This window comes from Homo sapiens, chromosome 17, assembly GCF_000001405.40.
Source record: "Homo sapiens chromosome 17, GRCh38.p14 Primary Assembly".
NCBI classification, from domain to species: domain Eukaryota; kingdom Metazoa; phylum Chordata; class Mammalia; order Primates; family Hominidae; genus Homo; species Homo sapiens.
Genome location: NC_000017.11, coordinates 6,679,574 through 6,691,573, shown reverse-complemented (window position 1 = coordinate 6,691,573; position 12,000 = coordinate 6,679,574). Strand labels below are relative to the sequence as shown.

The 12,000-nt window shown below is 49.6% G+C and overlaps 1 protein-coding gene across 5 annotated transcripts in view; it reads left to right on the top strand.

Moving 5' to 3' along the window:
* SLC13A5 (solute carrier family 13 member 5) overlaps positions 1-6,855 on the top strand; it is a 28,651-nt gene extending 21,796 nt beyond the window's left edge. For 3 of the 5 annotated variants that reach the window (NM_001284510.2, NM_001284509.2, NM_177550.5), the window contains 3 exons: positions 634-795; positions 3,908-4,045; positions 5,236-6,855. In NM_001284510.2, the coding sequence (NP_001271439.1) occupies positions 634-795; positions 3,908-4,045; positions 5,236-5,367 (432 nt within the window). In that variant the 3' untranslated portion in view covers positions 5,368-6,855. Of the gene's footprint in view, positions 1-633; positions 796-3,737; positions 4,222-5,235 lie in introns of those variants that run through there. The other 2 variants (NM_001143838.3, XM_011523795.4) reach the window with 2 other exon arrangements.

Here is a 12,000-nt window from a genome sequence, read left to right as displayed (position 1 = left end):
CCCTGAAACAGGAGTGTCTGCCCAGGCTCTGTCCTTGGCCTCTCCTCTTTTTACACTTCATTCTCTCCCTGGACAATCTCTTCTCAGCCCAAAGCCCTAAATCTAAACCTTCAATTTCTGGTTGAAATCATTCTCCTGAGCTTCCAAAACTGTGGAGCACTGAAGAGGAGGAGATGGATGTGAGACATTTGGGTGACTTGGTGACTGACTGGGTATAAGGAAGGAGGGGAACAGAGACCGGCAGCATGACTCCCAGCCTGCTGGGCTGGATGGCTGGTGGATGGTGAGTCCATTCACCAAACTGGGAGGCCCAGAGAGAGAAGCAGATTCTGGGCTATGGAGGATGAATGCAGGGTGGAGCATGTTGAGTCTGTTGTGCTCTTGGGACATCTGGATGGACATTTCCAGAAGGCATATGGGTATGTAAATCCACATAGTAGGCCAGCTGGCTGGAAATACAGATTTAGGAGACAGCAGAGTGAGGACGGGGATGAAAATGGTGGGAATGGATGAGGTCACCTATGAGGTGTAGAGAGAGAGGGTCGGGAGGGGAGGATGGGCCAAGCTTGCCCTGGCCCTGAAGGAACTGCAAGCTGGGAGCGCTGAGATGACTGCCCTCCTGGTGCTTCCCAGGCCTCGGGGCTGTCCGTGTGGATGGGGAAGCAGATGGAGCCCTTGCACGCAGTGCCCCCGGCAGCCATCACCTTGATCTTGTCCTTGCTCGTTGCCGTGTTCACTGAGTGCACAAGCAACGTGGCCACCACCACCTTGTTCCTGCCCATCTTTGCCTCCATGGTAAGTAACCTGACAGTGGGGAGGAGCCCTTCCATTTCACAGGAACACATGGCCATATTGTGGGTCCCTGACGAGGCAGCAATGTCCAGGCCAGACTCAGACCAGGCTTTGGAGACCCAGGTCTGACTGTGACGTGGATTTGTGGACCCTGGATGCCTCTGCCCCTGAGGCCTCCACTGCTTTGCCACTCCTCTTTGTACCCCTCCTGCTGACCAAAGCACCAACCATGGACCAAGTGCTCAAATTTATTTTATAAATCTAATTGGATTATTTTTCAAGCTGGGGAGACAGGACTTGGGCTAAGGAGGAGCAGGCCAGTGCCGTGGTCTCTGAGCATGTAGCACAGGTGTGCAGGAGGACTGCAGACTGGGAGCACCACTGGCTGGAAACCCCAGGAAGAGGCCTTGGAGGAGTGGGGACTTGGGAGTAGGTAGGAAGGGAGAGAGAATTCTGGGAAGATGGAGCAGCACAAGGAAAGGCAATGGTGCACATGACTGAGGACTCCTGGAAGCCTGGCTTGGTGAGCACAGGGATAAGGGATCCTGGGGAGTGGAGAGAGGTAGCTGTCGGTTGTGGGAAAAGCTGCTGAGTGCCAGGCTAAGGCATTCTGTTCTATGGACTAGCATGTTTTTGAGTTGGGAGTGAGAAGAAAGCAGAGCTTATAGGAAAATCAGTGGCTATGGTTTTTTTTTTTTTTTTTTTTTTTTTTTTTTTTTTGCATTTCCTTCTGTCATCCATTGCAAAGACGTACCAGCTTCAGGGTAGTATGGAAAGATCCCTGGTCTCGCAGTCAGAAGACCCGAGTTCAAGATGTGGGATCTCTGAACATGGCCCTTCAGTTCTTTCTTCCGAGAGCTGTGCTGATGGCCAAGTAAGATGAGGGCTATGAAAAGCCTCTGTAGACTGCAAAATGAGCATGGGAGAGGCTGTCATTATTCTGGAATTGGGAGACAGATTTACAGAGGGCCTGAACACAGGATTGAAGGTGGTGAATTTCCATTCGGCTGCCTGGGCGTCTGCATGTATAAAAAGCAAACCTAAGTGGTTTTTTTCTCCTCCAAGTGAAGATGAAAGTGTTAAAAATAGCAAGGAGGTGAAAGTGTTCAAAATAGCAAAGTGGCCTGTCTCCTCTTCTCCTAAGCAGACTGTCCAAACAGACGCCCAGTAGAAGGAGCACCTTTTGATACTGGGCACGTGGTGGTGATGCCTCCTCTCTCCTAGCACAGGCCGTGGCTTTGTCATCTCCAGCCCTAACTGGGAGCACCGAGGGTTCCAACCAGGCAAATGCAGGCCCTAACGGGCTCTTTGAAAACGGGCTTTTCTAGAACCAGGAACCTCAAGTAAAAACTCCCCCAGCTACCTCTAAGGCCCATCACACTCCTGTCTCACGCCCACCTATGAGAAAGGAAAAGGTGATGGTCATTGAGCTGGGCTGCAGAGGAGTGTGAGGTGCAGACACCATGAGGTACCCACAGCCAGGAAAACGAGGATGGTCGGGGAGACGCGCCAGCGAAGAGCTGGGCCCCTGCGTGGGACCCCTCAGTGGTTCCCAGGGGGCGTGGGACTTGCGCAGTCCTTTCAGAGGGCTGTTTACCAACAGGAACCGTAACATTAAACCTGCTCAGACCCCTTGACTCAGCAATTTCATGTCTGGGAATATATCTTAGGAAAATAATCAGAGATGCCTACCAACATATGTGATGATGATGTATGACAGAATTATTATACAAATATATCCATAGTAACAGGGGGTTTGCTGAAATAAATTATCATATATTCATATAATATGACATTATCAGGCCATTAAAAATCACAGTTTCAAAGAGTAATAAAATGGGAACATGCTCATAGTATAGTTTTTTAAAATTGCAGATGGTATATGGCTAAAAATGTCTAATAATGCAAAGATGTATACAGACCTTAATCCTCTAGCCTCCTCCCTAGAGATGACCTCTGTTAATTTCTCAAATATTTTTCTGGATATTTTACACACTCACACACTTTTTTTGAGACAGAGTTTCACTCTTGTCACCCAGGCTGGAGTGCAATGGTGTGATCTTGGCTCACTGCAACCTCCACCTCCCGGGTTCAAGAGATTCTCCTGCCTCAGCCTCCCGAGTAGCTGGGATTACAGGTGCCTGCCACCTTGCCTGGCTAATTTTTTGTATTTTTAGTAGAGACGGGGTTTCACCACATTGGTCAGGCTGGTCTCAAACTCCTGACCTCAGGTGATCCGCCTGCCTTGGCCTCCCAAAGTGCTGGGATTACAGGCGTGAGCCACTGCGCCCGGCCATTCATCTTAATTTTTAAAAAATCTAACCATGAAGCCTTGGTTATCTTGGAGAGCTTTCCTGATTAGCACAAAAAGAAAAAAAAATCCAATTCTTTACAGCTGCATACTATTCCATTATTTGTATGTGTCATATTTTATTTAACCATCCTGCTATTAGTGACCATTGAGTTGGCTTCCTGTGTTTTGCCGTTACATGGTTGCAACAAACATGTTTGCATGTGTCTGCCCTCATGTGCATGATACATGATTGATTTGATAGATTTTAGGAATTACATCATTCATTCATACACTCAGCAAATATTTAATGAGTGCCTACTCTCTGATAGGTGCTGTTGGATGTGGCTAAATTTTAAAGTGTAGAATTTAAAAGGTGGCTACCAAATTCCATGTGCAAAATGACCCCACGCATGTATAAAAACACACACATCCACAGATTTATATGCGGGAGAGAAGATGTGGTCCCTGGCCTCTAGGCTCTCTCAGTCTGTGGCAAGACAGACAGACATGTGCACGCGGCACTGTAAGGTTGAGCACAGTCTAAGTACTCAGCATGGTCTCTGGCACATAGTAGGTGCCCAAGAAATACATGTCGAATGAATTGAGGGGGTAAGGCCTTCTAGGGCAGGTGGCCTCTGACCTCAGCCTTCAGTGTTCCGTAGGTGGAATTATCTGCCAGAGACGTGGCAAAAGGGAGAGGAACCAAGACTGAGGCACAGAGGTTCAAACGTACCCGGCACATTCAGAGAATCCTTTTCAGAATCACGTCCCCAAGAGCTTCTGTGTTCTGTACGGTGATGTTGCAGTGCTGTTTTTCCGCAGTCTCGCTCCATCGGCCTCAATCCGCTGTACATCATGCTGCCCTGTACCCTGAGTGCCTCCTTTGCCTTCATGTTGCCTGTGGCCACCCCTCCAAATGCCATCGTGTTCACCTATGGGCACCTCAAGGTTGCTGACATGGTAACACAGCTGTTTTTATTTACTCCCGTCGGACTATAACGCTGTTGTCATAAGGGATGCCCCATTTATGAATGACAGAGTTTCAAAACGATGTCATGTGACTTGGGAATGCCACGGAACATCCAGACCTGTAGCCATTGTTGACATTTATAATGCAGCTTTTCTTCTTTTTCTGAGATGATCTCAAGCCTCACACACTGTTCTTTCTCTGAGGTGGGTTATAGACTCTCCCACCTGGAGAAGCCTGTGCAGGCACCAGGGGAGTCCTTGGAAGGGGTGAAGGTGGGGCTGAGGGACTCATATGGCCAAGGATGAACTTGACAAATTAGCAAGAACCATGAAGATAGGCAGGGCAGGCTTAGGCAGCAGGGGGATGCTAATGACAGTCACAGAGATTTGTAGGGGTGCCTGAAGAGGTAGAAGCAGGGAGAGGGAGAGAGAGAGCACTGCCTGGGAGTAGATGATGCCTTGGAAACAAATGTAGTCAGAGGAAGAACTCTTCATTAGCTCTGTCACCTTTGCTGGGAGAAGGGCAGCTTTGCAGCTCTGGGCTGGGAAAGAGGCAAGTGTTTGAGCCCAAGAGGCCAGAAATGTACCTGGGACCAATCGGGTGTTCGTTATCTCAGAGCCTCTGCTGGGTATCTCAGGGACTCCATGAGCATTTTCAAAAAAAAAGGTGGGTCCCAGAAACCATGGACTGCAAACTTGACTCCAATCCCCAGTAAAATATCTACAACAGGGTAGTGAAGCGATGGTTAGTGACCATGAGGGAAGCTTGCAGAGCAGGCATCAGAAAGAGCCTGAGGAGGTCCACAGGGAAGCTGGCACGTCCTTGTAGGATAGTTAAGGCACTGGGGTGAGCAATGAACCTGGACTCACGGAACACTGGGCTCTGTGACCGTTTCCCTGAATGGCCTAAGCTGTTGCCTCCTGTCACTTCTCTGAGGTCATTTTCCAAATGCGCACGGGCATAGAGAACCCATCCACTCTGCCTACTTCCCAGGGATGCCTTGAGCACTGAGGATACCTGGGGGACATGAAGTCGCACTGTCCTGGGGGTCGGGACACCCCAGCCAGGGACAGAGCATGGCACAGGGACATCGAGGCCCAGTGAGCCGACCCTTTGTCCTCCTCTCTGAGAGCACTAGTCCCCAGCAGGCCTCAGGGTGCTGACTCTGTCTCTTTTCCAGGTGAAAACAGGAGTCATAATGAACATAATTGGAGTCTTCTGTGTGTTTTTGGCTGTCAACACCTGGGGACGGGCCATATTTGACTTGGATCATTTCCCTGACTGGGCTAATGTGACACATATTGAGACTTAGGAAGAGCCACAAGACCACACACACAGCCCTTACCCTCCTCAGGACTACCGAACCTTCTGGCACACCTTGTACAGAGTTTTGGGGTTCACACCCCAAAATGACCCAACGATGTCCACACACCACCAAAACCCAGCCAATGGGCCACCTCTTCCTCCAAGCCCAGATGCAGAGATGGTCATGGGCAGCTGGAGGGTAGGCTCAGAAATGAAGGGAACCCCTCAGTGGGCTGCTGGACCCATCTTTCCCAAGCCTTGCCATTATCTCTGTGAGGGAGGCCAGGTAGCCGAGGGATCAGGATGCAGGCTGCTGTACCCGCTCTGCCTCAAGCATCCCCCACACAGGGCTCTGGTTTTCACTCGCTTCGTCCTAGATAGTTTAAATGGGAATCGGATCCCCTGGTTGAGAGCTAAGACAACCACCTACCAGTGCCCATGTCCCTTCCAGCTCACCTTGAGCAGCCTCAGATCATCTCTGTCACTCTGGAAGGGACACCCCAGCCAGGGACGGAATGCCTGGTCTTGAGCAACCTCCCACTGCTGGAGTGCGAGTGGGAATCAGAGCCTCCTGAAGCCTCTGGGAACTCCTCCTGTGGCCACCACCAAAGGATGAGGAATCTGAGTTGCCAACTTCAGGACGACACCTGGCTTGCCACCCACAGTGCACCACAGGCCAACCTACGCCCTTCATCACTTGGTTCTGTTTTAATCGACTGGCCCCCTGTCCCACCTCTCCAGTGAGCCTCCTTCAACTCCTTGGTCCCCTGTTGTCTGGGTCAACATTTGCCGAGACGCCTTGGCTGGCACCCTCTGGGGTCCCCCTTTTCTCCCAGGCAGGTCATCTTTTCTGGGAGATGCTTCCCCTGCCATCCCCAAATAGCTAGGATCACACTCCAAGTATGGGCAGTGATGGCGCTCTGGGGGCCACAGTGGGCTATCTAGGCCCTCCCTCACCTGAGGCCCAGAGTGGACACAGCTGTTAATTTCCACTGGCTATGCCACTTCAGAGTCTTTCATGCCAGCGTTTGAGCTCCTCTGGGTAAAATCTTCCCTTTGTTGACTGGCCTTCACAGCCATGGCTGGTGACAACAGAGGATCGTTGAGATTGAGCAGCGCTTGGTGATCTCTCAGCAAACAACCCCTGCCCGTGGGCCAATCTACTTGAAGTTACTCGGACAAAGACCCCAAAGTGGGGCAACAACTCCAGAGAGGCTGTGGGAATCTTCAGAACCCCCCTGTAAGAGACAGACATGAGAGACAAGCATCTTCTTTCCCCCGCAAGTCCATTTTATTTCCTTCTTGTGCTGCTCTGGAAGAGAGGCAGTAGCAAAGAGATGAGCTCCTGGATGGCATTTTCCAGGGCAGGAGAAAGTATGAGAGCCTCAGGAAACCCCATCAAGGACCGAGTATGTGTCTGGTTCCTTGGGTGGGACGATTCCTGACCACACTGTCCAGCTCTTGCTCTCATTAAATGCTCTGTCTCCCGCGGAAAGCTCCACTGTGCTGCTGACTTGTCTCTGGTTTTCTGCAGTGTGGGGAGCCCAGGGAGGTGGATGAATGAACAGTTAGTTACGCCCTGCCCACCTGCTGGGTGCCAGGCCTTCCTGTCCCTGTTGAATCCACTAGTTATCTCGTTCGATCTTTGCAGCAACCCTGTGAGATAGGAAGGTGTTATTATCTTGCTTTGTCTTTCAAAAAAAAAGCGAGGCTCAGGGAGGCCAAGGGAAGTGTCCAAAGTCACACATCAAGTTACTGGCAGTTACAGTTCCAACCAAGAGCTTCCAACTCCATACCCCCTGCTCCTTCTGCTAGCCATGAAGGGCTTTGGCCTTATAGGGCTTGTAGGGAAAGGTGAGTGGCCAAGAGCAAGTCCATGCCAAGGGAAGATCTCCAAACATGAGTCCCTGTCTGTTGCCTCCCCTGAGATAGGCACAGGACAAGTGATCAATGAGACAGGGTGGTCCTTGCCCTAAGAAGCAAAGTGTTTGGTTGGGGAGGGAAGTAGGGAAAAGGCTGCCACCTCCCCCCACCAAGGTACAACTGCTGACTTCCTTCCTCCCCAGCCCTCTATCACTGCCCTCTGTGCCGCTGCCGTTGACTGGCCTGCCCCACCAGACTGAGGGCTCTGACTGCCCACCGAGTCTAGTGTCAGCATTATGGCTGACCCAGAGCAGGCTATACAGTTAGTATGATGGATAAATAAATGATTGGTCAGTGCAGTCAATTAGGTGCAAGCTGTTGGTAGTAGGCAAGGTCAATGAAGGTCATCCAAGGTGGGCATTGAAGGATGAGTAGAATGGCCAGGGGTAATGGGGGAGGAACTGGTGGGTGGGTGGAGGACTCTTCCAGACACCATGTGGTTGAGGGCTGACAAAAAGCTGGGTGGAGGGCTTCCAGAGTGCCAAGCTCCCACCTGAAGAGGCTGACCAGAGGCCAATCCTAAACAACTCTAGGTGTTGGCTGGAGTTGCACTAAAGTGTATGGCCTCCCCAACCAAACCCTTTGCTTCTTAGGGCAAGGACCACCCTGTCTCATTGATCACTGTCCTGAGCCTATCTCAGGGGAGGCAAAAGAGAGGGACCTGTATTCAGAGATCTTCCCTTGGCATGACTTGCTTTTGGCCACTTACCTTTCCCTACAAGCTCTATGAGGCCAAGGCCCTTCATGGTTAGTGTAAGGAGCAGTGGGCATGGAGTTGGAAGATCTGGGTTGGAACGGTAACTGCCACTAACTCGATGTGTGATTCTGAACACTTAACTTAGCCATACATGCTCTCTTATTTGCTTTTGATGGCAAATAAGAGAAGGCCCAGCAAACAGTGGCTTAAACCAGAAGGTCAATTAATGTTTACTTTTCAGGAAGTCTGTAGGTAGATGGTTGCTGGCATTGGCCCAACAGCTCATTTCAGCCTCCAAGGACTTGCGCTCCATAGTCCACTCTGTCATCTTAAAGCCTTCACACTTTTACCCCCATGCTTGACCCCCAGGCTACATACACAGCTGCTTTCCTTCAAGGCAGAAAGGTGGATGGGGTGAGGGCATGATGGTGTCAACTGCATCTTTGTCTTTTACTAGGAAAGTAAAAGCTTCCTCAGAAGTCCCATGCAGACTTCCCTTTATGTCTTCTGGGCCACAAGTGGGTCACTTGCCTACCCTTAGACCCATCATTCACAAAGGGGGATTGGAGTCCCATTGGAATACTGTGACCAATTAAGACTCATCTCTCGGGGTTGGGGAATTAGCCTATGTTTCCCCAAATTAAGCTATTTCCACCCACTACAAAATCTGGGCTCTGGCAGGACAAAACGGTGGGAGGAGCTGTTGGGTAGGTGATGATAAGTGTCTGGTATGATCACTCCATGAGTCTTGAGAGGCCCTCTTTCCGTAGAATTCAGTAGGAGCATGTTGCTAGGTAGGAAGTGAGTACATGGTTTTCTGGTCAAGAGCTTCAACAATGCCTCCAATTCCCAACAGGTAGACCTTCTGCAGGGGGTCCCGTGGATTGGGAGGCTAGAGTCTGAGCCATGCACAGAGCTCAGTCCTGACATCAGACACCAAATCAGTCATGCTGCACTCTGGGTCTCAGTTTCCTTCATGAAGGCGTTAGACCAGAGGGTCTCTAAGGGCTTTCCCCAGAGTCACGGATCCTCTTACTCCAGCTGACCCTCCCTCTGCTTGGGCCAGATGGAGCCCCCATCCCAATCTCCCATGCTGTCTCATCTTGGAGCCTGTTCCAAGGTCCCACTGCCTGCTTCCCTATGGGGGTTCGCTGAAGGCCATCTCAGGCCTTTCCCCTATCTATATCTTGCCTCTGACATTTTATAAAAAGGGTCCACCCTGGGCCTTTGAGTTCTCTCTTCTTAGTGCTTGGATCAGACATCTGGGCTTGAGGTTAGCTGAACACACAATGTTGACCAGGATTGCCCTCTTAATTTTTTTTGGCAGGGACTTATGGCTCCACAAAGATTCTTTGCATTCCAAAATTAAGTCCCTGGGCTCCTTAGCCTTTGACCTCTGAATGAGATGCTCCTGAGGGCAGGACATATGTCTCCTCCCCTGTTCATCATCAGCTGAGAGCTTTCTTGGAGAAGGACTGGGGTCTCCCCATCTGGCATCTACCTGGGACAGGTGAAGTCTTCTCTCCTCCCCACCATCTCTTGCACATAAACAAAACAACTCTTTGATCTGGGTTCCAAGCAGGATACCAGCTCACTAGCACAAAGCCCAATCCTTGAGATGAACAAATCAGGATGTTCTTGGGTAAGACCTGTAATGGCATGTTCTTGTCTGTGGAAACAAAGTCCAAATGCTGTATTGTCTGATTACAAACTACAGCTGGTGGCCTGGTGAGGTGGCTCATGCCTGCAACACCTTGGGAGGCTGAGACGGGTGGATCACGAGGTCAGGAGTTCAAGAACAGCCTGGCTAAGATGATGAAACCCCGTCTCTACTAATAATACAAAAATATTAGCCGGGCACGGGGGTGGGTGCCTGTAATCCCAGCTACTCAGGAGGCTGAGGCAGAGAATTGCTTGAGCCTGGGAGGCAGAGGTTGCAGTGAGCCGAGATCACACCACTGCACCCCAGCCTGGGCGACAGAGTGAGACTCTGTCTGAAAACAAACAAACTACAGCTGGCTGTCCTATTCTTAGTCCACAATCCCTTCCTCCAGGTACTTTCTCCCCTTAGTCACACAGCCTCTGAAAAGGGTTTGTGTCCCAACCTACCAGAAACCTTTTTAAAAATCTATTCACACACACACACACAAGTTTTATCAAGATAAATCCTCCATACCACGGGATGGGCTTTTACATTTCTCAACCGGAAGTTTGCCATTTCAGGCTGAATCTCTGCAATCAAGATTCCGTTTATCTCACTTGGCTTCCTGAGCCAGGACTCAGGTGTACTCTCTTCCCTACCCCAGGAGCATCTTCCAGCAGCTTCCCTGACCTGCTTGTACAAATGCCCCCTTCCAGCTGCAGAGCCACAGGCCACCCATGGCCGGCAGTGGTGTCCCTGCTTCCTGCTATCAAGGGCAGAGAAATATTAAAGTTCAATCTCAGAACACCCTGTTATCTGGTCAAGAAATTTTTAAACTACTTTTTATAGTAAAAAATTAATATGAACACAGTAAAAGAAATTCCAGTGGCACAAAAGGTATTGAGATGTTTGCCTCTCACTTCAGACCTTTAGTCCCCAAACCATCCACACCGAAAGGGAACCGCTGTCAACAGTTTCTTACACATTCTCCTAGAAATATTATATAATCTAGAAACATTATGTAATAGATATCCATTAACTGTATTACATATGGGAGCATACTATGCACATTTTCTGTGCTTGATTCTACCTACCCCCCTCCACCAATTAAGAATTTATTTGGAGATCATTCTATTTCAGGACATACTAAGTTTGGCTAATTGTTTTTATTCAATAGTTAATGTTAGTTTTAAACGGATGTGAGATTAGGCTGAGCGCGGTGGCTCACGCCTGTAATCCCAGCACTTTGGGAGGCCAAGGCGGGCAGATCGCGAGGTCAGGAGATCGAGACCATCCTGGCCAACATGGTGAAACCCTGACTCTACTAAAATACAAAAAATTAGCCGGGCTTGGTGGCGGGGGCCTGTAGTCCCAGCTACTAGGGAGGCTGCGGCAGGAGAATAGCGTGAACCCGGGAGGCGGAGATTGCAGTGAGCCGAGATGGCGCCACTGCACAGACTCCATTTCTCAATAAATAAATAGAGGTGAGATTAAATTTAGAAAACTGCACAGATCTTCAGTGTTCCATCCAATGATTTTGACAAATGCTTACATCTTAGAAACCACATCCAAATTCCACAAGCCTCCTGCCCAGAGTTCTCTCTGCCCTTTCAAGTAACACTTCCTGCGGCAACCACGTTCTGATTTCTGTCACCATGGATGAGTTGTGTCCGTTGAACTTCATAGAAATGGAATCATACAGGAGTATTCTTGGGTCTGATTTATTTTGTTTAATGAAATACTTCTGAAATTCATTCCTGTTGTTGTATATCTGTTCATTTTACTGTTGCTAAATAGTGTTCCTTTGTACGAATATACCACAGTTTGTGTCGTCTCCCATTGGACACGTGGGCTGTTCCAATTTGGGGCTATTATAAATAAAGCCATTATAAACATCTCTGTACAAGTTTCTTTTGTGAGCATATGTTTTCAATTCTCCTGAGGCATACCTAAGAGTGAGCCCCAGTCTTTTTAAAAGCTGCAAGGTTTTCTTTTTTGAGATGGAGTCTCACTCTGTCACCCATGCTGGAGTGCAGTGGCGCGATCTCGGCTCACTGCAAGCTCCGCCTCCCGGGTTCACGCCATTCTCCTGCCTCAGCCTCCCAAGTAGCTGGGACTACAGGCGCCTGCCACCACGCGCAGCTAATTTTTTTGTATTTTTTAGTAGAGACGGGGTTTCACCGTGTTAGCCAGGATGGTCTCGATCTCTTGACCTTGTGATCCGCCTGCCTCGGCCTCCCAAAGTGCTGGGATTACAGGTGTGAAAAGCTGCAAGGTTTTCTATTGTAAGTATGCATCACAGAATAATCAAATTCCCTATTGATGGGCGTTGGGTTGTTTCCAGTGGATTGCTAATGCTGTAATAAGCATATCTATAC